Genomic DNA, 27,037 nt, shown 5'->3' on the forward strand with positions numbered 1-27,037 from the left:
ACAAATGAAAAGCAAAATCATGTTTGAATGTTATTTTCACTTAGGTCATTAGATGGCAGCAAAACATTTAAAAATTTCATGTGAGTCACTAGATGGCAGCAAAATAATTACAAAAATGACTATGACATTAAAAGCCATGCTGTTCTTTATTCACACTAATTGCAGAGCAATAAGGTTTAAAAATTGTTTTTGACAGCCTATTTCTGTTTTTCAAATGTTTACTATTAGCCATTAATATCTATGCAAAAGAAAAGAGAGTGAAGGATTCTTACATATTTTTGAGTCTTTATAGCTAAAAATAAGGCCTGAGGGATAAAAGAATAGTAGGAATTGAACTGAAACTTAAATAATGGGAAATTAACATTTTAAAGCCCTCTTCAGTTTTCAGGAGGACTAGATTGAAGTCACACAACACTTGCTGAATGTGTGGCATCAGGCAAGTTAATTTCTCTATGCCTCAGTTTCCTCATCTGTAAACAGGAATGAGAGTAATACCTGCCTCCAGGGAGATTTTAAGAATTACTGGTAAACCACTTAGAATAGTCCTTCTGACATAACTCGCAATAAGAGTTAACGATGATCTTTTATTAATTAATTTTACATCAACCAAGAAAAAATCGGATGCCTTATTCAATACCTAAAATCATGTTTCTTTCTTTAGGTATCCATTAGTAATATCGTGAATCCACACCTCATCAACAGGTAATATTAAAAGAGTTTCTATAACAGGCTCACCTCTGCTTGTTATTGGGGAAAATGGTATTTTAAATAACAATAACTTTTGTCCCATATATATAGGAGGCAAAACAAGATGTGGTCACATTGGAAACCAGCACATCACTAGAAGCAGCGATTCAGAGGAGGACCAAATAACTTTTCCTGAGGAAGCTTCTGCTCCAGGAGTTCTGCCCCTTTCCTGAGAAGCATATAGAGTTAGCAAAACATCCAGAAAATAAACCAAAGAGGAGAGTTGGAAGAACCATAGCATTCATTTAGTTCAATATTGATTTTCAAATGTTGGCAAGATAGAATCCCTTGGAGTGCAGCGCGAAGTGGAAAAATCTATCTTAATAGTAAATACAGAAAGTCTCCTGCCATGAAATTAATTTTGGACTTGTCTGAGCATGCCATAAAGTCAGAATCCTAAATGAGATGCACAAGTCACACCTGAGGGAAGAGCTTGTACTTTGGGGTGATTCGACTACAAAAAAGGAGATAAAACAGTCTAGGCATAAAATGCAGCATAAAGGAATTAAGTAGAGAGTTAAAGAACTACTTTAGATGTAAAGGTGTTTAGTAGGCGCTGCCACTTGACAACTTGACCGCGTAAGTAATCACAGGTAATCAGCAGGAGTTAAGAGCAAATCTAATGGTGTAATCACAGGGGACCATGTGCGCTGCAGCAGCATAAAACCCAGTGATTTAAAAGCTAATTTTAGCCAGGTTAGAATTGACTCTGCTCAGTAAACAGGAATCAGATCCTCCCTTGTATTTAAATCTTTCTCAGGTAGAGGAGACTGGAATTCCAGGGAAATATTTTGGCCATTAAGTGTACATATTCTCTGTTCCAACATGTCCATACATTTCTATAATATGTACTCAGCTCATTTGAAATTTGGATGGTTCCAGACGCATTTGTTCAGGGTAATTCTTACCCTAAAAGGAACCTGGCTCCCATGGAACTATAATACAAATGGAAGTGTTTGAAAATACTGCGCTCACAGAATTTACACTTCTGCTCTTGTGAGATCAGTTTACAGCAAGATCTAAGGCATCACAAGGGGCACTTGGATGGATCAGGACCCCAAAGAAGGGGGCCTATTAAGGGTAGGAAAATTGTACAAGCCAAGCACAGCAGATGTAAGGGCAAGGCCAAGTGCTGGGAAGAACTAAGAACTGAGAAGGCTGCTCATCAGTGAATATATAGGAGCTCAGATTCTCACACTGGGAACTTTAGGAGTAACAACAACACTTTTAAATTATGTTTGTAATATAAAAGTTGGGGTGTGTGTGTGTGTGATAAGTAGTGGTGACAGGGAGGTTTTATGAAGGTAAAGACTTTATTGGTTTCATTACACTATTGAAGCCCCAGCACTTAACACAGTATCTGGAACCTAGAATGGAGCTCAAAGATATTTGTTGCATGGTTGAAGGAATGAATAGATGGATGGATAAATTGATAGAGGGATGGATGGATGAACAGACAGATGGTGCAATGAAATTCCTAAAATACTGAATGCCAGTCTAGGTCCATGAGCTACTGGGAGCTGTGGCCTCATCTTAGGAAGGCCAGAGACTGGCTTCTCAAAGAGTTCTTGCAGAAATATACAGATGTCTGTTGCTGCAACGCAGGCTTCTCTATAAAAAGAGTGTGCATGGAAGAAGAGAAGCAGCTTTACTTATATCCAAAGCTTATCATTTGCAAATTTTAATTTTAATAACTAATTTCACTTAGTATAAAAGAGACATGTTTTAGGAGATATAACAGCAGAGTCTCTCCCCACATATTTATCTCTTTTAGCACTCATGCTTCTAAAGTGCAAGTTGAAGAGGTAGATTAGCAATGAGTCTGTGGCATTAGACTCTGATGACACTAATTGGCATGATTCATGCTGGTACTTGAACTTACCCACTCTCTCTTTTCTCTAAGTTTGCCTTAATTTTCTCATTAGCGACTTTAGTTCTCCATTTCATTCAGTTTTGTGTAGAGATGCTTATGGCAAGTTCACGTACATAATAAAGATACCTCTTCCTAACACAAATCTTTGTTTCACAGTCATGATTAGCAAAGTATGATAACTTTTGAAAATCCAAAAAGCATTTCCAACTGACATATTCCACTCCACACCAGCCAAATAGATGGTAAATTCAGGTAAATTTCCTCCACAAACAATATAGGCATATACACCCCATGTATGTTCAGGTACTGATAATTACTACCTTGAACTTTATAGGATAGCTGAGAATTTTTTTAAAAAAAGCTTTACCTCAGACAGTAAATTATTAGAAGTCATGGTCAATTATGATGGTGGTGGGTTGGGGAGTGGCAGGGTGGAACAGTAAGTACTTTGTGGCTTAACTTGTAACTTGTTATGTAAATTTCAGAGAGCCTATTATAAATATTTCTTAATTAAAAGAGTATTTTAATGACGCCTTATCTGAGAAGGTCTAATTCATTCCTTTTAATTTGTTTTCTATAACAAAGGGCCTGTTGTCAAGATTGTGAAGTGTACTAAGTCTCTTATTCTTGGGAGCTTAATTGATATGAAACATTGATTAGGCCCCAAGAGGAGTGGAGAGTTGCAGAGGAATTATGAAATAACCACAAGGCATAAAAAAGAAAGTTTATAGCTTCAGGGTAATGCTTTCAGCTGGGCAAAAGTATTCACTATTTGGTATACAATTTTAAAAGTATACACAGATGACTAAAGAAAGGCTTTTTTTTTTTTTTTTTTTTGGAGACACAGTATCACTCTGCTGTCACCCAGGCTGGAGTGCAATCAATGGCGGGGTTTTGGCTGGGATTACAGACATGTGCCACCACGCCTGGCTAATTTTTGTATTTTTAGTAGAGATGGGGTTTCAGCAGGTTGGCCAGGCTGGTCTCAAACTTCTGACCTCAAGTAATCTGCGCACCTTGGCCTCCCAGAGTGCTGGGATTACAGGTGTGAGCCACCATGCCCGGCCATAAGAAAGGCTCTTTTTGAAAAGGTTTCATGCTTTTCAAAAGAGTTTATGTGTCAAACGCGGAAGAGATAAAAGCAGGTTAAGGAACTACCTAGAAGCATCAAGGAGAAGAAAAAAATTGAAAGATAAAGTCGACTTCCAAACATTGCTCAAGAGAAATGATACTAGACATGGCTGTGAATACTGAAGGAAAGGGCTTATCGGGCACAAGCACAGTGCCCAACACACTGGGCATGAAATACATGTCGAACAGTGATATCAGTGCCATAGGAAAGAAGGAACAGATAGCAGGACTGAGGGTACAGGCGACCTGCAAAACACGGCTCTGGGTCACCTGGGTCTTTGGGTCAGCAATGGACTCCAGACGCTTTTTGAATGATGTAAGGCCCCTGGGACACAGTTCTTCCACATGTTCCTACAACACTGCATTTTTAAAAAATAAAGTATATATTCACAGTATTTTATTATTTTATATTTTATAAAATATAAACAAAGTAGAAAACTTTAGAGGCTAAAAAGTTAACTATAAGTAGAATTTCTCATATTTTCTTCCTGTCATGGAGCAGTCATCATGTGCACCCCTGAAGTGTGTGCAGGGTCATGTGGGGGGCAGCTGGTGCAGAGTTGAATGCTAACAAAACAGGCTACAGAGTCTCCTGCCAACTGGTCCGCTTTGTTCTGTCCTGTGGTTTCTCACCAGCCATGCTGGCTTACTATCTTATTCACTGACTCACTGAGTGGGGATTAACTGAGAGTGGAAGTAGAAGGAGATAATTCTATAACAAATCTTTTAAAAAAAGAGCCATTAAGACTGCTGTGAATTGTTTCATGGTTGAAGGAATGGAGGGATGGATGGATGGACAGATGATGCAATGAAACTCCTAAAATACTGAATGCCAGTCTAGGTTCATGAGCTACTGGGAGCTGTGGCCTCATCCTAGGAAGGTCAGAGACTGGCATGTCAATGAGTTCTTGGAGGAACAGCACACATTTTTGACTCATCCAGTTTTGATCTTGGGTTGGGTGGCTTTTTGAATTTGGTTGTAACTCTTTTGGCTTGGTCAAAGACAGCAAAAGATTTAAAAAAAAAGAAAGAAAAAAGCAATCACAATACATTGGTCAAGGGAAATATATTGTACTATTCCTTCTGTTTATTAAAATATTTAAATGACATTTATTCATTCAAGTGTGTATTATTTTCTAGCCATTGTACTCAGATGGAAGAGAGAGAGAAAGAGAGATAGAGACACTAATAGAAGCACAGAGCTAACGGCGTGGAATAATCTTTAAAAGTTTGTGTGAAATGGTAAAAACACATACAATCTAACGAGAAGCAAAAAAGTGCAAAGAAAATGCCATGGGGGTTCACAGCCAGTGGCAATTTTCTTAAGTTATATACTATTTCTATTTCCCCAAATCTTAACTTTGAGTAGTTCAAAACTTTTTAAGACATCTTTTCATGCATATAGATTTTCTTTCTTCTTTAGAATCAACCTGGATAAACACAAATGAGAAAACTACAGTTATAAAATGTAATTATCTTTGTTTCCTATAGCCTATCCACATATGTTATAGGATTATAAAGTGCTGATTTTCCACTTGTATACTCTTAAGACTGTTGTCAGTTAGTGACACCGGTGAATGAGGACTCCTGCCCTTGAACAGGAGGAAAAAATGTATTTGTAATGCCTACAATTCCCCTGGCATGGAAAATGTTAAATTGTTCTTATAACTAAAGGGAAGTCAGAAATTCCCCTATACAAAATGGTGATTTATAAGCAAAAGAGAAGTTTAATCATGTGGCGAAGCTAATATTAACTTGACCAAACCACTGTGATTTAGGTGCAAAGCCATCATTGGAAATGTGTTGAAGCAAAGTGAATAGACAATAATCTTAAGGTGTAGAGGCTGGATTTTGTTCTTTTCTACTCAATCCAATAAACAAAAGATGAGTGAGGGAGTATTATGGGCAAAGCCCTGTCCTAGGGCTCACATGTTGCTGGATACATATGCAACTCTAACACAGACCTTTTAGAAAAGCATTACCTTATGTATACTCTTAAGGTAGGGTTCCAAAATCTTGGTACTGTTAACGTTTTGGACAGAAAAATTCATTGTCGTCAGTGGGTGATTCTCTGCATTGTAGGATGTTTAGCAACATCCCCGGCCTCTATCCACTAGAGGCCAATGGCACACAGTCCCTCTCTCCCCCCGCTGTGAAAACCAAAAATGTGTCCAGACATTGTCAACATCCCCCTGGGGAGCAAAACTGCCTCCAGTGGAGAACCTATGTTCTAAGAAGAGGTGGACTTTTATTTCTATTAGATTGATTATAGTATCACATGTGGCAGCTGTTCTGGAACATAAAATACTTAAAATGTATACTTTGCATATTTTTAGTGTAATTGTCCCACTTAATATTTCTTCCAGTTCTGGTTGAAAGTGAAACTAGGTAATGAGCTTGCAATCTATCCACTACTCTTCAAAACTAAATAGATTCTATTACTTATAGAAGAGTTAAGTGTTACTAGTTATTATGAAAAAACAAAGACACATTCAGAAACTAAATTTTTAAAAGTCTGAAAAGCTATTTACTAAGGGAAGTTGAATTCAACTGTTTATTATATGTAAAGTTATTGTTATCCCCTGCTACCCCAAATAGTTAAAAGGAGTTTGGCAGGAAACCCTAAAAATGGCCAGCATTTTGATAGACATTCTATTTTATAGAGGAGTACTGCTCACATAATCTTAATGCATTGCTATTACATCACCACGAGGCAGTTGCCTTCATAAGCTCCTTGAAGGTATTTCGCTGGCCCTCGGGGAGACCACATAGCAGATGGCTAACAGTTCAAACTGTTTGGTTTCATACCTGGCCCCATCACTTCCTAGCTGAGTTACCTGGGGTAATCTGACCTACCTCTATGCCTCAATGACACCAGCTGTAGAGTAGGACTATGTGAAGCATTCAGAACTGTGTTGGTGCGTAATCAGTTTTCAATAAGTGTTAGCTATTTTTATAGATCAGGAACTCAAATAATGTCAATTAAATACATGTGAATTTTCATCCAAGTTAGAGAACTAGGAAAGTCAACCTGTTATTTGACAATGGAAAATATTATATGTAATGACAATCATACCATTTATTCAACAAAGAAAATATGCCAGGATTGTATCTAGCATCTTCCAGACATTCATTCTCATCACGTTGTGGAGCTAGAATTCCCTTCGCCCCGTTCCGCCCAGTCCCCATTTACAAATAAAGCATGTGAAGTTCAGAGGGATTGCTTAGTTTGCTGAAGGTGATGCAGCAAGTAAGTGTTCGAGTCAGAGTATGAACTCAGGTCTGTCTTATTACAAAGTCGATTCCCATTTCACAATTCTATGGTTCTTGACTACAATAACAATAATCCTAATGGAGCAGCTAACAACATACCAGGAATCATGTTCATTCACAGGACCAATTCACACAAACTAGTCCATTTACCACGATCAGCAGCCCTGGGTACTCTTACTACATTTCACCTTTGGAAACTGAGCTTTGAGGAGGTGAAATAAGTATATAAGATCATGTAGTGAAGAAGCCCTCGAAGCTGAATCCAAACTATAAAACCTGGGCTCTTGGCCACTTGTGATGCTGCCTCACATCTTACCAAAGAAGGATATTGAGAGACTCAGAGTCCAAGAGGGAAGCCAGAGACAGGATTAAATGGTTTTATAGTCAGAAGAAGAAGTTTGGATCTTTCTGTAAAGGAAGTTGTCAGATGAATAAAAGCAAGGAGCTAGGCAACAGCGTGTTGTATCTGGGGACTTCTACAAGTCTCCTCATCTATAAAATAAATAGTTGGACCAGGTAACCTCCAAACTTCTTTTAATTCTACAATGATATATTGTTGTGGTTTGTATTATATCCTCCCAGCACATAATATACCTGTGCATAAGCCACTCCCTAGTGGCTTCCCTGCGCAACTAGTATAAAATCCTTTCTTGCTATCATTGTCTGCAAGGCTCTGCAGGCTGTAGCCCCTGACTGTCTCTGACTCCACTACTTGTCTTTTCTTCCTCAGTCACCATGCTTCAGTCACAAGCTTTTCTGTTCTAGAAACTTCCTTTCTCAGGGCCTTTATACTTGCTGTTTCCTCTGCCTGAAATGCCCTCCCCCAGATCTTTTTTTAGTGGTTCCTCAAATGTACTTCCTTCAATAGGTTTTCTATAACCACCGCATCTAAAGTAGGATTTCCTCACTCATTATTCTTTACCTCATTCCTGTTTTACTTTCCTCATACTAATTTTCAGTATTGGAAATTTACTTTTGTTGTTTATTTTGAGTCATTTATTGTACAGTACCCCCATCCATCCCCATGTAAACTCTGTGAGGGCAGGAGTCATGTTGATCTGGTTTATGGCTATAGCCTCTGTGCTGATGCCTGACACATAATAGCATTCAGAATGATTCATTGAGTGAATGGATGATGAGACAAGTTATCTTGTGTAGCTCACCTAGCACATAGAAAATATTAAGCACAAAATAGGAGCTGAGAAACATGTAACGGTAGTAATGATAACTGACATTGATCAAGCTCTAATTATTGGCACTAGGTTAAATCCTTCACACACTGTATCATCTTAGTCCTCACCACAACTCTGTGAGGTAAGTATTATTATTATCCTAGTTTTATAGATGAGGAAACTGAATCTTAGCACAATCAAGAAATTTGCCCAAAGTCACAAAGCTAGTAAATTAACCCAGATTCAAAACCAACCTAATTTCAGCACAATGTTATTTGCTAACTATAATCTGTAACAAAATTATTTACTAACTTCTGCAAAGTGAAACTGCCATTATCTCCATTTGGATTTTTCAAAGTTTATAATTTCAAGGAGTACTATGTGAGTAACTACTATATGTATCTTGGGACTCAGGCTAGGTAAAGGGTACTAGGTGCCTAAGATACAGAGATAAATAATGTGACACAGTACTCAACTTCAGGGGGCACAGTTTAGGAAGAAAAACATAAGCGTGGTAGAATGGACATCTCCATGACCCAAACACTCCTCTGTCCTCTCACAAAAAAAAACAAAACAAAACAAACAAAAAAACACCTCCTGCTGTGGAGACTCATTCCTCTTAAATGTTTCCCATGAACCTGGCCCAGGTGTTTAATTTTGCATTCCTTAAATTATATTCTAACTGTTTAGCACTGTCTAGGAGGGACTGAATAGCCATCATTTACTGAGTGCCTACACGTGACAGGTGATTTATCTATGCTCACTGACTGAATTCTTACAACAATGAGGTGAGTGTCATTATTCCTGCTTTACAAATGAGCAGTCAACAGCTTATTGGGGCATTGGATTATAACCCAATGATTACAATAGAGTGTCTGATTACAATGCAGAATTGCCAATATTAGGATAGAAGGATGTGTATGCAAAGACCTATGGGAGCCCCAAGAAACAAATGGCTCTTGGCCTTCATAGATATTTATTTATTTTTATTTTGTTTGAGACAGTGTCTTCCTGTTTCCCAGTCTGGAGTGCAGTCGCATGATCATGGCTCACTGCAGCCTCAACCTCCTGGGTTCCGATCTGCCGACCTTAGCCTCCTAAGCAGCTGGGACTACAGGGGCACACCACCATGCCTGGCTAACTTCTTATTTTTTGTAAAGATGGGGTTTTGCCATGTTGCCCAGGCTGGTCTTGAGCTCCTGACCTCAAGCGATCCGCCTGCCTTGGCCTCCCAAAGTGCTGGGATTACAGGCGGGAGCCACTGAGTCCAGCCCCAGATATCTACTTAAACACTATAATGGTAACAAATATGAGAATATCTGGCTTTTTATTAGCTTTTTAATTAAATATTTAATAAATAATGTGTATCTCACCTTGTAAAATATTTTAACAATATCTTTACATTTTTTGAGAAAAAGCAAATACTTTCACATTTTTACTAAGAATAATATGTTAGAAGCTTTTTTATTATAATAATTGGAACACAGACTTTAAGTTTTTTTACATTACATTTTCCTGATATACTGCCTGAATTTTTTTTTTTCTGGGGCAAAGAAAAGTACTTTTCTTAAGCTACTGTCAGTTCCTTTACTTAAGATTATTCTGAAATGAACCCATCCTTCCCTCTAATGGAAAGATAGGTACATAATAAGATAAGCACTTTTTTTATTTGAACAAATCCAGTATTAGAGTAGTCTTTTGCAGCTAGTGAATCATGACAGCCTGCTAAGAAGAATGCCTTCAGTAAAATAAAGTTAGGTTGGGACTGACCAACATGAATGCATAAAGTTAACTCCATTAAAAAAAATTGACCAGGAAAATAAAACAATGCTAAGCCAACCACTGTAATACCAAAAACGCTGCTAAAAAATTTAGATTGCTTCTGAGTAACCAAAGGTGAACCACTCTCCACCCTGTGGTGAACATGTGACACTCTCCCTAACAGCAGCTCTGTGGGGAGGGCTTGCTCCCACTGAGAATTAATTCACTTTCCAGAAGTGAGAGATAAGGAAAAATTCCCATGACAATAATCCATTTGGTGAACTGCAGTTTGGTGGTGTTTGAAGTTTTACGCATATTTAAGAATCAAACATGCTCTTACTTCATCCCTGTTAGGAAAGCCACAATCCAGTTTCACGGAAAATGAAAGACAAGGATTCCTGCTGATCAAATCGCCTGGCTCCCTCCACAGAATCCCGGGAAGCCACTCTACATTCACAAACTTTGCACTCAATTCTTGGCACCTATCAACGCCATATCTCCAGGGCCAAGTGAAGAGTCTCATAGCAACTAAGTTAATATTTGAAAATTATGTAAAGAAACAAAATTACATCAATGGGCCCCAACAGATACAATGCACCTACAGAGGCACAAATAAAAGCTTCTTCTTTGCTACAAACTCCATTTTGTAATGGTCCTAAAAATTTAAAAACTTTATTGCTGCTTTCTTGCCTAAGAATTCCCTGTGACATCAACCCAAAACCCACATAAGCAGAAGTACACAATTTTCTAGAATCTTAGAACAAGTAAGTCTAAACATGAATCATATTTGTTTGGATGAAATTGACTGAAATAAATAGTAAAGAGTGATTTTGAGATACATATTGCAAAAATGTCCACTAATAACTTATCCTTGTATTTATCTGTATATTTTCAAAGGTAAGTAATGTGATGTCAAGGCCGACACAATCACATTAAACTGTGTCCTGCTTCCCCAACTGTAACTCTAATACTATTGCCCTCAGAGATTGCAGAGACCACAGAACCGAACTCCTTCCCACAAACCCCCGGATTTTTCTGTGGCAAAATCCCTTGTAGGAAATGAATTCTCTCTATATCTCAAAACAGCCTCACTTACCCAGTAGGCCCTGTAAGCACAGTGTCTCAGGTCCACAATACTTTTAGATGCCCAGGAAAATGTTTCCTTTTAAAATAAGAACAAAAAAGAAAAAAATTAGGTGTTGGTTAAAGAAAATGTTTAAATATATAATATTAAGATATTTATCTTTATGTCAGTGTTGGTATAAATGCGTGTTTATGAAAAAGGGACCCACCAAGGTGAAATGCCGTAGGACCCACAAATGTCATAATGCTGGCTGGCCTCAAAATGTCCTTCCTATTAAACTATTTTGAATGATTCCTAGGTATGCCAGATGCCAATTTTTCTTGGCCAGCCAGGGAACGTCTCATGTCTTTGGAAGAAATTATCTTTCTCTTACTGGATTCTTCTGAGAAAAGTGATTTGTTAAAAGTTTTGGTTATTTCAAATCAATATGTACTCAACTAGGACGTCTCCTCACCCACGTTAATTTTTTAAAGAGGAGGAAAGTAGGAGAAGATGAGCGCTTCATGTAAGGCTCTGCCAGCCTACGAGGAAATGCAATCCTCCAGGCTCGCCCGAGCGTGGGCTGCGGGCAGGGGACTGTGGGGCCGTTGTCTCGTTTTATTCCACGGCCGTGCAGCAGAGGGCGCGTGCCTCTCAGCACTCATGCTGCGCGCTCCCCTGCGCCTCTAGGATCGTATCCCTATTTGCCCCAAGGTCATAGCTCCTAACCCAGCTTGCCAGCCCCAGGCCGGGGACACCAGAGACTGAGCCCTTCGCGCTGGAGACCCCGGCGCGGGTGGGGCGGGAGGGCTCCGGGGCCAAGAGACAGGTCACAATGGGGACAGGGGACGAAAGGCGCCGGGGGTCCGGGTCCCGAGCAGTCCCCGCCGCCGCCAGACTCCGCAGCCGGGAGGGGGATGGGGTGCGCGTAGAGGCTCCGCGGCCCGGGTTGGACGGAGGAGCCCAGGAGCCACCGCAGCCGCCGCACGCCCAGAGCTCCGAGCTTCGCTGCCAGCCCAGGACACCGGGGCCCTGCCGTGGGCCGAGGGGAGCCGGGCGGCGGGAGAGGAGCCCCGGAGCCCCGGAGCCCCGGAGCCCCGCCGGGCGCCAGCCGAGAGGGCGTTTTCCCCGCCCCCGGAGACTCGCCCGCCCGGCCCGCCCCGCCCCGAGCGCGGGGAGTTCACCTCCGCCCGTCACCACCTCCCCTTGTCGCCTAGGTCCACCCGAGCCCCCTCCCCCGGGCCGCCCCCGAGCACGAAGTTGGCGGGAGCCTATAAAAGCTGGTGCCGGCGCGACCCGCGGACACACAGTGCAGGCGCCCAAGCCGCCGCCGCCAGATCGGTGCCGATTCCTGCCCTGCCCCGACCGCCAGCGCGACCATGTCCCATCACTGGGGGTACGGCAAACACAACGGTGAGTGCCGGCGACGGCCAGCGCGGGGGCGCCCCGATCCCCGATCCCCGATCCCCGATCCCCGAGCCCGGATGCCGGCCCGGGGCCCGCAGCGCCCGCACATGCTGTTTACCGCGGCCGCGGGGAGTGCTGGAGGCTCAGGTGCGCCCCGGGCGCTCGCTCCGCTCGCGGCTCCGCGGCGCCGGGGATGTCCCCCTTGCCCCAGCTGCGAGGCCACTGTGGAGGAATCCCCGCGTCCGCCGGAGGCGCGTAGGGCCCGAGGGAGGGGAGGCGCAGCCCTGGCCGCGGGACCCGAGGACAGTCCCTCCCGGGTCCCGACCTGGGGATCATTTTAACCGGACCTAGGAGGAGGCGGGAAAGGGTTGTAACGGAAAATTCTAGTTGTTGATCGCAGAGAAATTAAGAGACTCCCCTCCCCCCTCCCCCACCTTCCACCCCCACCCCACCCCTCCAGCTTCAGCACCACCTGTGGCTAAGGCGCTCAGCACGAACTGTCCCGGGGCATTTTCCAGTGCTGGTTTGAATCCATGGCTCTGATTTCCGAGTTTTCCCTTCATCTCTCGACTTCTAATGTTAGGGGGTCGGACATCAGGAATCGGGTTTTATCTTGGCCTCAGATCTGGTTCTTCGGAGCCAGCGGAGCAGAGGAGCATGCGTCTGGCGCACCTAGCGCATCTTTGGAGGGTGTGGGGCTTCCCAGGTAGTGGGGAACCCTGACGGTTAAAGGTGGGGTGGGCCCGGGCCTGGGCAGTGAGGAAAGGATCCAGACCTCCTTGAATGTCTTAAGTGAGCTTGCATATCCCAAAATCGCAACCACAAGCCCTGACATTAGTGTCTGCCCGATTTCAGTTGCTGAATTTCAGTAAAACGACCTTAAAATAGCTAATATTTATATAGCACTCAGTGATCTAAGAGCTTTACATATATCGATTCTAATTCTTACAGCGACATCTATGAGGTAGATTTCTAATTATCCCATATTACAAATGTGGAAACTGAGGCACAGATTACGTGTTTTCCCAAAATTTAGCCCATTGTTAAGTGATGCTTCTAAAATTGGAACTGAGCAGATTGGCTCCGGAATGATTGCTCTTCTCTAGGGGTCTGGGTGTACCTTTCCCCACAATGGGGGATTCACATGTCTTCTTTCCCCCAGGACCTGAGCACTGGCATAAGGACTTCCCCATTGCCAAGGGAGAGCGCCAGTCCCCTGTTGACATCGACACTCATACAGCCAAGTATGACCCTTCCCTGAAGCCCCTGTCTGTTTCCTATGATCAAGCAACTTCCCTGAGGATCCTCAACAATGGTCATGCTTTCAACGTGGAGTTTGATGACTCTCAGGACAAAGCAGGTCAGTGTTTAGAAAATAACTTGTGTCTTTTAGCCAGTAGCTGTTTTCCGAGCTTAATGGAAGGAGCCAGGAACAGTGGCAGGAACCCTCTTAATAATACAGTTTGTCTCAGGACTCAAGGATGCCACCCTGATCATTTTCATTAGGTCTCAGATTCTGAGAAGTAGGCTAATTAGTTTGAAGTGTCCCGGGGCCGTTTCTTCCCTGTAAAACCCTTGGCTTCTATGAAGGCCATTGAATAACTGCGATATGCCTGTGAAAAATCACAAAAGGTGCAAAGTCCCCTCGCAATAAAGATCAGTCACGATGAGATTTGCACCAATTGAACTTTTAAGATTGTAAAATATTTTGTCTTGCAGAGCTGATGCATATCCATTAAAAAGTATATCTTAGTGAGCCTTATCTTCAAGTTAGCAGCGAGAAGAGTAACAAAAACGTGCCAATTTAAAATACTGAAATTCTGGGAAAATGTTTTACTTATGAGTATTTCTTAGTATTGGGCTAGTGTGATAAAGATGGCAGCATGTTTTGATATCTACTCAGAAATTCATTTCACAAACGAAGATGTTTTAGAGTTGGTGAACATACCTGGCCCATTACTGACAAAACCAATTACCGTATTTATTGGTAATAGAGCTGTTTACAGGATGCTCACTGTAAAAAAAAAAAAAAAAAGAAAGAGAAAGAAGAAAAAAAATCCTGCTTTTTTTTTTTTATCTCTCTCTCTTTTGAAACAAGAGAACAATCCCATTCACACATAGTAGCTGCCTTCTTTGCTAAGCAGTTAATTTAATTGCCAGTGCCCTATTTTCCTGAGTGCTTTCCTCTGAAGGTCATAGAATGAAATGGTGCTGCAAACACATTTTGTTTGGTGGTGGTGTGGGAGTGAGGGGAGTGGTGGAACAAAATGAGAAAGTTTTGGAGTAGTGACCTACGGTACTAATATATTATATAATATGTAATTATAACCATTTAGTCAGGTAGACTATTCTTTGTCAGCAGCTATCCTATATAGTCAACTTGGTTTTGAAAAAAGAATTCTTCCCTCCTTTCAACTTTAAAAAAATTTGCAAACACCTGGCTTTCTGAAATGGTGATTCTGGAAGACAATTTGATGGGGGATAATGTGGAGATCATCTGAGAAATGTTTTCAACCTACCTGTGCCTGTCTGTGTGCACCCCTCCCCAGTACACACATACATACATACATACACACACACACACACACACACACACTTACAATCATACTCACACTTTCTGGCATAGTATGATGATTTATTAGAATCAAGTAAAGGTTGTACATTGAAAACAGTTCGGTGATTCTGCTACATTGCTTTCCCAAGCATTCCTCTCACTCCAAAGGAACAGTGCTCATATAATTAAATTAAACAATTTTTTTCTTGTAAAGAATACTGTATATTTATAACAAGACAAGGCCAAAGGTCTCAAGGTATTACACATACAGAAAGAATACTATAACATTTCACGTCTAGTCATTTACAAACCAAAAGAAGTGAGCTACTTTAGTCTGTAGCTGTACTTTTTTAAAGAGCCACAATGATGTCATTGTTTTCAATGGATGTAATGTCTGCCAAATTATGTATCTCATTGGATGCTACATAGAAATTGGATAGTTTAAGTCTTTTTTGGAGCACTGAAGAAACAAATCTCCAACAAATGAAAGCAGATGAGGTTCCTAATAGTCCTTAAAAAATGGATAGTGAAATAAATTATTCTAGTAATATGTATTACTGGAAAGTGGATTTGAACACATGGTCTGGTGGCTATCAGCATAGACTGGGGTCAGAGAGACCTGGATTTGAGTTCTAGAGCTGCCGGCAACTAGCTCAGAGACTTTGGGAGTAATACTGTCTAGGTTTTAATTGTTTTTAACTGTAAAGTTGGAGTAACAATAGTGTCTGCCACAGTGGAAGGATGAAATGGGACAGTATATGTAAAGCCCCTAGCCCAGTGCCTGGCGCATAGAAGTTGCTCAATAAATGGCCTCTGTTGTTGTCACAACTTGAACCCTTCGACCACCTCTGTTAGACCATTGCTGTAGATGTTGCACCTGCGATAAGATTTCTGAATAAACTTTTTCTTTAACAGCTTTAAGATTAGTTCCCATCATTTGATGTATTTTAAATTTTTATTTTTATATTTTCTGAAGCATACTGTTTATCATACTGAATATGTACTTATTTTATGTATGAAGTTATTATATAGTTACATATTTTACCATGAATCTGTTAAACTTTGACAGATTTCTCTATAAGCAGTAACTAATTAGATCTAGCTACATTTTTCACAGCTATTTCTTCTGGAGAGCAATGCATACATTTTTAAAGAAGTTGGCCATGTTTAGATTGTGAAACAGATGAAAACCACAGGGTTTCGGTAGGAGCTCCCACCCATGCCTTTAGAGACACATGTATTATCCACCTAGTTCTACAAAAAAGTCATTATTAACACCACTTAAATGCATGGGAAGCTAAGCATCATGAAAGCAGGGTGGAGGCCTGGTCCCTCTCCTGTTCCCCGGAGCCCATGCTGGAAATATCTAAAGTAGAAAGACATAGAAATAGTAGACCCTGACTGCCACTTTGATAAGTGCAGAAAGGAAGTACTCCAAGGAACTATGGAAACGTGAAGGAGGCTTGGCAGTTTAACTGATAAGACAGGAAAGACTTTCCAGGGTAAATAAGGCTTATGTGGAGGCTTGAAGGATTTTGATGTCTTGGACGAGAGTCCAGGCAAAGGGAGATAGGAAATACCAGGAGACTTAAGAGAGCACAGCATGTGCTCCAGAAAGGCAAGAAGGTATACTAAAAGCAAGGTCAGAAAGGACTTGCCCTCCTTTGCATATGAAAGATTCCTTTGTAATTTTGCCTCTCTTTTCCACATTTTCAGTTACTTTGGTTAAACAAGAATGCAGAATATATTAAAATGTCAATATTAAGAGAAAAGACATCTACAGAATAAATTTTTAAAAATCATACCATGTGGGGGACAGGCACGGTGGCTCACGCCTGTAGTCCCAGCACTTTGGAAGACTGAGGTGGGCGGATCACTTGAGGTCAGAAGTTCAAGACCAGCCTGGCCAACAGGGTGAAACACTGTCTGTACTAAAAATGCAAAAAATGAGCTAGGTGTTGTGGCATGTGCCTGTAATCCCAGCTACTCAGGAGACTGAGGCAGGAGAATCGCTGGATCCCGGGAGGCGGAGGTCGCAGTGAGCCGAGACCGCACCACTGCACTCCAGCCTGGTGACAGAACGAGACTCCATCTCAAAACAAACAAACAAACAAAAAACCACACACACACACACACAAAACCATGTGGAAAAACTCCCTTTAGACTTTCTTTCTTTTTTTTTTTTTTAAATAAAACAATCCTAGGCTCTCAAAGCCAAAACAAAGAATAGAGATACTCTAGTTAAACTCACCTTAATAAACATGAAGAAACAGAAGCTGAAGAGTTTAAATAACTTGCTAAGTCGTCTCCTTGCTAGTTTGCTGGAGGGACTAAGTAGCAATCACTTAAAAATAGAATTTTGAATAAAAATATTTGAAGGATAACCTTATTTGACATTTAGTTTATACATACCATGTTTTTTAAAAGCTGGCATTTTTTTCTGTACACAAGTCAAAAAGTTATTTATTTTAGTCACTTAATTTTAAAAAATCGGCAGTTTAACATCTCTTTTTATTAGGAGTTATTTTTGTGGTGGTAACATTTTTAGATTTCCTATACCTCTTATTTCCTGCATTTAAATGCAGTTCATTTACCTGTCTTCTTTGCCTCAATGAGATTTCAGCCTTCTAGAACTTCTCATAGATTGAGGTTTTCCAATATGCTTTAAATGTTCTCTTATATCCAAACTTAAGAACTTGGGTATCAGGAACTGAGCGGGTTGACTTTATTGCTGATTTAAGCTTGAGAGAATTTTTTAAACTACGGAGTTAATAGGATTTAACTAGAAACTTGGGTTAGAGCTCTCATCAATCTTCTAAATTCCTTTGAAAATAAGCCACCATAAATTCACCTTAAGTTAATGAAAAATTGCTAATCCCTTTAGGTTCTTAAAAAACTTATTAAAAAATAACTCACCCTGCTTGAGATGTTTTATTAATGGCCTTATCTGGGAGAAAATAATAGTAGTCAAATTATTAACTCCTGCTAACTTATTAACTTTTATTAATGAGTTTAATACTCTCCTGCTTTATTGCAAAGTTAGGGACAAATATTGAAAGTCAATGCCAGAATTATTGGGCCAACTCTTATCCAAGTCTTACATCATTTCTGTTTTTCAGAAATTGGAATTTTTTAAATCTGTTTGTTATTTCAAGAAAAGAGTAAAGGAAGCTGGATGAGTTTACCTGTGCTCTTTTTAAGTGACCCATTGTCTGTATGACGTAATGGATCTTCATACATGGATCCTGCTTGACTTTCAGGGACTTGCTTTTGAAGCTCTAAAAGTTTTCTTTCACAGCAGTCCTAAGTTAAAAGAAAGCATAACAACAAATGAAAGGGCTTGTCATGCACGCAGTAATGGTGTCAGCCGAACCTTAAATATCTAGAAAATGGACCAACATATTCTAAACACTGTAGTTACTATATTCACATCAAAACAGCTTCTTTTTTTACTCCTATATAATTGCCACATAGTTTAAACCACGACTTCTGTTGAATTTCAACTGTGTTTACTCTAGCGAAAGTGACAGCTAAACATCTTATTGCTTTAAAACAAATGGAATACGTGTATTTTTTCCCCCCAGATTTGTCTATATTGGCACGTAGCCCTAGGATTATTGGCTGCTGCCAACAGGCAAAACAGTAATGCATGATTTAAAATTTTTCAGGTTATTTATAGAAAAGATGGTACCGAAAATGACATGTTTTCTGTAGAATTAATCTTTTGCTTTATTAGTAGGAAATCATTTAAATTTTATTTTTAAACTAAAGATTACTGGGACTAGTTTATTTATATTTTGGACTTAGGAGAAACTGTTGACATTCATTACGGTCTTTAGTCTGTTACTCCAGTGCATCTTAATTTAGTTTAAGTGATTAGGGAGAAAAAATTAAAAAATATTAAATGTTCAGCTTTTAATTTGTATAAGTAATGTGATTCATTTCAATATTACTGGATTTCTTATTTTTCTCAAAAAGTAATTTATATAATTTCCTCAAATAATATGTATAGGAAGAAAGATTATTCTATAACATTATACTTAGTGCTTGTTTTGTGTTATATACAGAGTATGTATAATTGATGACAATCATGAAAATTAAAATTGGCTGGAGCTCTTGGTGTTGAGATTTGAATTTAAATTAAATTGGGGGGGGTCTTGAAAAAAACATTAGAGTAGAAAACTGTATTTATGTCTCCATCCCTCACAGAACCCATTTCTGGGGTACAATGAATCATTGACTCTTTAAAGCACCACTGCCATGGCTGGATTTTACAGAGAAAAAATAGGCAGTTAGCAATTTCTGCTATTTTTTAAAATTATTTTTACATTAGAAAATAGATTTCATTTTAAACTGCAACAGTTTAGAAAATGGCATGTAGTCATTTAAATAAATAAGTAGATCCAGAATATAGCATAAAGTCCCTAACTTAAACCAAGATATTATGTTTTATGTTTCTCAAATAAAAAGTTTGAGTTTATGGCAATTTATTATAACAATGTTTTTGAAGGACTTCATTGACTAAACTCCATGCTAAGAGTTTGCCAGAAATGCTGCCTTCTGTAGCAAGTAAACTTTAAGGATTTAATAACATTTTCTAGTTACAGTGGGTTTCTAATCTTCATAGGAACAAGTTTTATTTTAACAGGGGCTAAAACAGGTATCTGGTGATAACAGATTAGCACTGAATGTGTTTAATCATTGAGCCCAGAGCACTTTATCTTTTTTTTTTTTTAGTGTTAGCTGTTAGCAAGTATTGTTTACTAAAGGTTTGCACACACTCTTGCCTAATTCTAAATGTTTTTAGAAACAAATTAAGATGAAACTTTAAGATTTGTTAGAGAAAGAATAAGAAACAGCAATAAACTTTATTCTCCTTAAAATGTAAGATCCTGCTATGATTCTTCACTGGGGGGAAAGAAGATACATTTAGAAAATTGGTTATCTCAGATTCTTAGTATGGTTTTAGTTAGTTAGTTTTACCACTTGGTAGAGTTAATGATTTGACAAATGACATTTGCTTCTTATTATCAGCCAGTTGGTTGCTAGCTTTAAAGAGTTATTATAAAGGATTTTTTTCAGTATTAATTTATTTCATAAACATATATTTAATTTTTATATATTATTATGAAAAAAGGGAATTATTTCATTCTTTTTTAAAAAAGTCTAGAATTAGAGGCTAATATTTCCTTATAGAATTGTCAGGAAACAAACTGTTGTAATAAGTTGTTTTTGTGTTCCAAGAGATGTGACTTTGTCAGAATACATCCAAATTCATATTTCTTAGCAGATCTTTAACATAACACCATTTATAATTCTTTCTGTTTTCATTCTTCCTTTTTTCTCCTGGCCTATTGTAAAGCAGATCTGGCAGCCAGAGGTTGTATCAGGAACCACAGAAAGACCCCACTGCTTAAATATCTTCAAAGCAGTCTTTCACTTTGAATAGATGAATGGATATTGCTACCATGTAAGGATATTTAGGTGAAGCTCATGAACAAATCTTGTTGTACAGAAGTTATCCCTTTGTTCTGCAATGCCAAAGTAAATTTGGGCTCATTATTTTATGGAATTATAAAGTAAAGCTAATAAAATACACTTATAGCAACAAATGTTTAATTCCCAGTACTAGAAAAATAAAATTTAAATTGTAGAACTAAACTACTTTTAAAAGCTTTTGAATATATTGGTTAAATCCCATTAATACATACAAAGTTAGGCACAGAGTTTCTTGGTGGATGGAAGAAAGACTGATTTCACACTATTTTAATCCTCTGTCAAGACGCAACTTATTAATTATATACAGATAGTTTGTAGCCGATGGATGTGATTTTTGTTACTGATTTTGCTTAATGCAGTTACATTAATGCCAGAATAGTAGAATCGTGGAATAGTTATCAAGTTAGAATTTTAAGTTCTTGGAGATAATAGAGCACATTACACTGCATATAGAAGATGATCCATAAATTATTAGTGAAATAGTAAATGATTTAGTGTGTCCACAGATGAGTAAATTAAGGTCAAAGAGGTTTAATAAAAATTTTCGGCCGGGCACGGTGGCTCATGCCTGTAATCCCGGCACTTTAGGAGGCCGAGGTGGATGGATTACTCAAGCTCAGGAGTTCCAGACCAGCCTGGGAAACAAGGCAAGACTCTGCCTCTACTAAAAATACAAAAATTAACTGGACATGGTGGTGCACACCTGTAATCCCAGCTACTCGGGAGGCTGAGGCACGAGAATCGCTTGAACTCTGCTTGAGGCGGAAGTTGCAGTGAGCCGAGATCGCACCACCGCACTCCAGCCTGGGCAACAGAGCAAAGCTCTGTTTCAAAATAATAATAATAATAATAAATAAATAAATAAATAAATAAATAATAAAAAAAATTAAGGGAACAAAGCTAGCCAGCAGCAGTGAGAGTCTAAATTCTAAAGAATTTGGGAAGCCTATATAAGGATAATTGGATTTTGCAATGTTAAGATCAATGGAATACTGATTTCACAAATTCGGGTGTCTAAGAACTGGTATCAGAGGTTAGCAAAGCAGGCTGTATGGCAGCAATCGGGCCTTGGTGGAAGAGAGGGTCTCACGTTTGCAAGTGTGTGTAGCAGACCAATTTATTGGCCAGTAGCTGCATGGGCACTTCCTAAATGTTTCACAGATTATTAGTTTCACTTAGAATTTTCTCTCTCTGGACCTGAATCTATGACTCTAAAACAAACCCAGAAAAAGGAATCAGTATGCTCAGAAAGAAAGATGTGAAAAACATCCATTCTCCAGACAACGCATGTGAGGAATAAAAACAGGTAAAGTGATTTTGTTCAGCACCGTAGACTAAACTTGACTCTGGATTGAATTTTCAGAGTAAAATGTGATTAAAGGCAAACATTTAGTACTGTAAAACAGAATTAAGATTGTAATATTTAGGCATGTGTTTCATGTGTGTGTATGTATGTGTGTATACCTATGTATATATGTGTATGCAGATACATACATATATGTTACATATATATATATGTTTTAATTTTAGTGCTCAAGGGAGGACCCCTGGATGGCACTTACAGATTGATTCAGTTTCACTTTCACTGGGGTTCACTTGATGGACAAGGTTCAGAGCATACTGTGGATAAAAAGAAATATGCTGCAGAAGTAAGATATACTTTTTTTTTTCTTTCCAGGGAAAAATGTTTATAAGTTGATATTTAGCATTAATTTCAAAAGCTTAATTTGTAAATTCAACTCACGCCCAGTGAACCACTTCTTTTACAAAGGACCTTCACATTTGCTTTTTATAACCTTTAATTGTGACATCATACTTAACGCTGCAAAACTTTCTCTACTGTCTCCAACTCCACCATTTGCAAAAAGTAAACGGACTCAAACTGGAGGATCCTGTTTTAACAGAAATTTAGAAATAAAATGTGTGCCTTCTGTCAAAACTGTACATTTATTTGTCTTAGAGTTATTGATGAAAACACTTGCTGTTATACCAAGTACTGTGTGGATGATTAGAATTAAAATGAAAGGAAAATTTTGATTTAAAATTATCCATATTTTCAATTTCCTGAGTAACCTTTATTGTGAGAAAAAGACCATTGAATAAAATCTGTCAGCTTTGATTATGTAAATCACTCACTGTGGCTTTGTCTCTTCGGCCTTAGCTTCACTTGGTTCACTGGAACACCAAATATGGGGATTTTGGGAAAGCTGTGCAGCAACCTGATGGACTGGCCGTTCTAGGTATTTTTTTGAAGGTTAGTTGATGACCCAATTCTTTTTTTTCCCTATTTTTAATAAAGAATGACCAGACAGAGTATTTGTAACATACAGGACATTCTACAAAAGAGCTTAGGAAATGCCTTTGTCCCTGAAATGTTTTCAAGTTTATCTCCTCCTTTCATATCTGCTAGTTGCAGTGGAGATGGAGGGCAGAAAGACAATAGGAGAGGTACTTATTTGGTACCTTTTGGATGTAAATGTGAAGAACATAAAGAGATCAACTTGGGTGACTGCTAGGTGTTTGTTTGTTTTCTTTTCATTTAACCTGAGGCTAGACAGTACTATATTATGATAAAGTAAGATCAGGTTCTGAAGAGGGGAAGGACAGTGAATTTCAGGCAACAGTGGGACAGAACCGGTTGAGCTGCCCTCTAAACAGTGGTAAAGGGGAATGGAGAAAGGTCTGGGCTGGAGATTTATGAGCTCTGATTCATATGTTGAGGTGGAAGCTACAGGTGTGTATGAAATCATCCAAGTACAGCACGAAGAGGGAGATGAGAAATCTGCCCAGGGAGCAATCCTGAGAAACTGCAAAATGTAAGGCCTTTACAAGGGGAGAGATGCAAATTAAACAACTTAAAAGGGGCCAGGTGTGGTGGCTTAAGCCTGTAATCCCAGCACCTTGGGACACCAAGGCAGGAGGATAGTTTGAGGCCAGGAGCTCAAGACCAGCCTGGGCAACATAGCACAATTCCATCTCTACAAAATTTTTTTAAAAATTAGCTGGGCATAAAAAACAAACTAACAAACAAAAAAACAAAACAAAAACAAAAACACAAAATTAGCTGGGCATGGTGGTATACACCTGTAGTTTCAGCTACTTGGGAAGCCAGGGCAGGAAAATCACTGCAGCCTAGGGGTTGAGGTTGCAGTGAGCTATGATCATGCCACTGCACTACAAGCTGGATGACAGAGCAAGACTCTGACTCTAAAAAAAAAAAAAAAAAAAAAAAAAGCGAGAGTCAAGAGAGATTTGGGTTGCTGGAAGGCGTAGGGAAAGCCAAAGAAGAAAATAATTTTTAAAAAGAAGGGAAGACCATAGTGTAAAGTCCTACAAGGAAATCAAGGCAAGCCCTTGAGGAGTATCCTTTGGCAGTTAGAGGTCACTGGGGACAATTGAGCTGGTGGTTTCAGGACTACTCTCTGAGTGGAATTAGAGGCGAGTTGAAGATTCAGTGAAAGTAGGCAAGTCTATGGTGTCAGTGTCATCAAGCCAGTACTGATGGGGGTCATGTATGAAGTGGAGAATTTGGGCTCACTATTTGGATGTTTTCTAATAGAGCTACCCAAATAAAAATAAAAACTGGTACAGTACCAACTGGGTGATAGTATCTTGCCCTTTATGTTTTTCTTTAGGTTGGCAGCGCTAAACCGGGCCTTCAGAAAGTTGTTGATGTGCTGGATTCCATTAAAACAAAGGTAAATTTGAATTTTCTGCCACCTCCTTAGGGTACCAATTTTCAATACTCCATTGGTTTTAGAAATTTCTTTTGATCAAATTGCACAGTCTCAATGACATGTGGTGTTTGGATGAGCAGTTAGTAAAGGTAGAATATTACTTAAATATTTAATTAACGTTTCTTTCAACAAAGTTGATCCTAATGCTAGCATAATTCTAAGACTTGTATTTATTTAATCTTGCTCCCCCATCATTTGGACATCCATATGTAAGAGTCAGAGAATCTTATGCCTGCAAGGAGGTTCAAAGGTCCTCTAGTCAAATTATTCACTCATTCATACAGCAGATATTTGTTAAGTATGTACTATGTGCCAGTCGCTTTGCAAACTAGTAGACACAATGGTGAACAAGATAAACAAGGCCCTGTTTCATGGAGATTTCTATTCTATGACCTCTTTGCATTCATCCATCCTGCATTTAAATCCTCTCTGCAGCATAGTTGTGTTGAGGTCGTTGAGCATCTGTTTAAACACTACAGTCACTTCCGGTGATGGGGAACTTATCACCAGGGGCAGCCCTGGCTTTATAAAGCTGATCTTCACATTGAAGCAGCATCTATCCTCTGAAATGCTCACTCACTGGCTTGAGCCCCTTGAATTCATAGAATAAACCTGATCTCTCTTCCAAATAACTCTACTCTGTCTCTACTTTGTTTTTTCACCTACCCCAAACTAATTATCTTTAGTTTCCTTTAACTATTCTCATATGATATAGTTTTCTCTCTTTGCCACCACCTTGTCATTCTTCCAGTAAATCATTCCTGTTTGCTTGAAAAGTGTAGTGTCCAAAACAGAATGTAGTTATTTGATTCTGACCTAGAGCAAGAAAATCACCTCCTCATCAGGATACCATATTTCTGTTATTGCAACTTGAAGTCACCTCATTTTAGTGGCAGCAGTCTCACTTTAAATACTGGGTGTGATCAGCTAATGACTTAATGGGGAATGTAAGGGATCATTTTAGATAAAAGGCCAAGATGAAAAATGGACATGTGAAAATAGTTTTTTTTTTTTTTTACTACGACTTGCCACATATTTTCAAGTTGAATGTCTTCTGTTAATTTCTCTTTATTTTGTTTGCCAGTGAATATAGAACCTCTTTTTTAAAAAGTGTTTTTGACCATCAGAGGGGAGTATACCTATTTGTGTCTGCTGCTCTCCTACCTTCCTCCTACTCTGTCAATGTGATAGTTTGAAGCTGCGTATTTGCCTTGTTCTAGGGCAAGAGTGCTGACTTCACTAACTTCGATCCTCGTGGCCTCCTTCCTGAATCCTTGGATTACTGGACCTACCCAGGCTCACTGACCACCCCTCCTCTTCTGGAATGTGTGACCTGGATTGTGCTCAAGGAACCCATCAGCGTCAGCAGCGAGCAGGTTTGTTTTGTAATGACAGGTCTGTTTACGGGTGGAGCATTTAGTCAAGGCAGAAGACCTTGGCCTCCAGAGTGAGAGAGAACTGAGATTTAATCCTTCTCCTGCTACTTCTTGCTATGGAAATAGTGCCTTTGATGGTGCCTAGCAAATAAACAGCGTTCAGTAAATCTTTGTTGTTATTAACTATAAACTTAGTTCGTTTAGTCTCTAAAATTGAATAGTCATTGTAAGGATTCAATGAGAAAGATGTCTGTCACCTAATAAATGCCTTTTTTTTTTTTTGCCAGTTATGAGGAAACTAAGGCTTAGAAAAGTGAGAGTTCATATTCAAGGTTACGCAGGTATCAGTGAGTTACCAGCCTACTACTCACTCACATAAGGGCTTTCTGCTATTTTATTTATATCAGAATGCATTTCTGAATCCTGACAGATGAGAGTCATCCCTTGGAGAACATGTATCTATTAAAACTCACTCCAGGTTGCTTTAGAGGCTTAGAGCAGGTATTCTTACATTTCCAATAAAATATAGTGTGTGATCGTCAAGTGATTAGTGCAGCTTCTAAGTCACTGATGAGCAGCCACTAAAGTGGATACAAATGAGTTTTTCCTAGACTTACCTCTTAGCGCACAGTTGAAATGTAGAAAGTGAACATTCCTTAGGATTCACAAGAGGATGGATCCTGAATAATTTAAGGATAGCTTTAGGAGCCAACAGTCTTGAAAATGGTAACTATGTGAGTAGTGGTAGTGTGATTTAAACCTACAAAAATGCTGAATAATAGAGGTTTAGAGCTGCAATGTGCAATAGAGATCATGTTGTCCAACTTTCTCATTTCACTGGCTTGAATCACATTGATCAACAGTCTGAGATGCAGGAAAATTGAAGTGTTTTCCACTCAGCTACCTTGCAACAGAATCAGGCCTGGGAGCAAGGATTCTATTCCTGTGTCCTCCCTTAGAATATGAACTTATGAATGCTGAAGATACTTCATATCTTTCTTTAAAGGAAATATGTATCTGACTGGAAAATTACTTGTAGCATATCAAAGTGGGCCTAAAAAATAGCATGCTTGGTATGTCACTTGAAGATTGACCTTGTAGTAATAACATATTTGAGTAAGCTTCTTGAAGTGTAGCGTAAGGAAAGATTATAATGCCCTTCTTTTTGTAGATGCAGTGTTTACATTATAATTTAAAACATGAATTTTTTTTTCTTCTTTCACTGAGAGCAATGCAACTTTAAAGCAATAGTCTGACATTTAGAGCCATTATAACAAATGGATTTATGGTGTATACACACCCACAGGCAGAAATACACATATAGATAAGGGCAGTTGAACCTACTGCATTAATCCCTGTACCCTGAGTTTGCTCTTTAAAGTTGAAAGTGGTATTAAACTAATGATGTTAATTGTATATATTGGCAAAATACCAATAGGGCTCT

The 27,037-nt window shown here is 39.2% G+C and overlaps 1 protein-coding gene and 1 long non-coding RNA gene across 6 annotated transcripts in view, besides 6 other annotated features; one reads left to right on the forward strand and one right to left on the reverse strand.

Moving 5' to 3' along the window:
- The window catches only part of CA3-AS1 (CA3 antisense RNA 1), a 23,110-nt gene extending 9,877 nt beyond the window's left edge, over window positions 1-13,233 (reverse strand). The window contains exons 1-3 of one of the 4 annotated variants that reach the window (NR_121633.1): window positions 11,250-11,372; window positions 11,054-11,119; window positions 4,805-5,181 (exon numbers count right to left, since the gene is read on the reverse strand). This is a non-coding gene — a long non-coding RNA (CA3 antisense RNA 1). Of the gene's footprint in view, window positions 1-4,804; window positions 5,182-11,053; window positions 11,120-11,249; window positions 11,373-12,545; window positions 12,652-12,899 lie in introns of those variants that run through there. The other 3 variants (NR_121630.1, NR_121631.1, NR_121632.1) reach the window with 3 other exon arrangements.
- Window positions 9,838-10,533: an enhancer, noted in NCBI's record as "OCT4-NANOG hESC enhancer chr8:86373749-86374444 (GRCh37/hg19 assembly coordinates)". NCBI's record gives its function as "activates a minimal SCP1, AML or CMV promoter by ChIP-STARR-seq in naive and primed H9 embryonic stem cells {active_cell/tissue: H9 hESC(naive and primed)}" and the evidence as "EXISTENCE:reporter gene assay evidence [ECO:0000049][PMID:30033119]".
- Window positions 11,561-11,820: a silencer, noted in NCBI's record as "silent region_19338". NCBI's record gives its function as "represses an Ori minimal core promoter by ATAC-STARR-seq in GM12878 lymphoblastoid cells {active_cell/tissue: GM12878}" and the evidence as "EXISTENCE:reporter gene assay evidence [ECO:0000049][PMID:35858748]".
- Window positions 11,891-12,210: a silencer, noted in NCBI's record as "silent region_19339". NCBI's record gives its function as "represses an Ori minimal core promoter by ATAC-STARR-seq in GM12878 lymphoblastoid cells {active_cell/tissue: GM12878}" and the evidence as "EXISTENCE:reporter gene assay evidence [ECO:0000049][PMID:35858748]".
- Window positions 12,321-12,790: a silencer, noted in NCBI's record as "silent region_19340". NCBI's record gives its function as "represses an Ori minimal core promoter by ATAC-STARR-seq in GM12878 lymphoblastoid cells {active_cell/tissue: GM12878}" and the evidence as "EXISTENCE:reporter gene assay evidence [ECO:0000049][PMID:35858748]".
- Window positions 12,321-12,933: a biological region, named in NCBI's record as "H3K27ac hESC enhancer GRCh37_chr8:86376345-86376844".
- CA2 (carbonic anhydrase 2) overlaps window positions 12,325-27,037 on the forward strand; it is a 17,487-nt gene continuing 2,774 nt past the window's right edge. Inside the window, exons 1-6 of one of the 2 annotated variants that reach the window (NM_000067.3) lie at window positions 12,325-12,433; window positions 13,590-13,787; window positions 22,011-22,129; window positions 22,642-22,734; window positions 24,116-24,178; window positions 25,438-25,593. In NM_000067.3, the coding sequence (NP_000058.1) occupies window positions 12,400-12,433; window positions 13,590-13,787; window positions 22,011-22,129; window positions 22,642-22,734; window positions 24,116-24,178; window positions 25,438-25,593 (663 nt within the window). In that variant the 5' untranslated portion in view covers window positions 12,325-12,399. The remainder of the gene's footprint in view (window positions 12,434-13,589; window positions 13,788-22,010; window positions 22,130-22,641; window positions 22,735-24,115; window positions 24,179-25,437; window positions 25,594-27,037) is intronic. The other variant, NM_001293675.2, reaches the window with a different exon arrangement.
- Window positions 12,434-12,933: an enhancer, noted in NCBI's record as "H3K27ac hESC enhancer chr8:86376345-86376844 (GRCh37/hg19 assembly coordinates)". NCBI's record gives its function as "activates a minimal SCP1, AML or CMV promoter by ChIP-STARR-seq in primed H9 embryonic stem cells {active_cell/tissue: H9 hESC(primed)}" and the evidence as "EXISTENCE:reporter gene assay evidence [ECO:0000049][PMID:30033119]".

This window comes from Homo sapiens, chromosome 8 (assembly GCF_000001405.40).
Source record: "Homo sapiens chromosome 8, GRCh38.p14 Primary Assembly".
Taxonomy (NCBI): domain Eukaryota; kingdom Metazoa; phylum Chordata; class Mammalia; order Primates; family Hominidae; genus Homo; species Homo sapiens.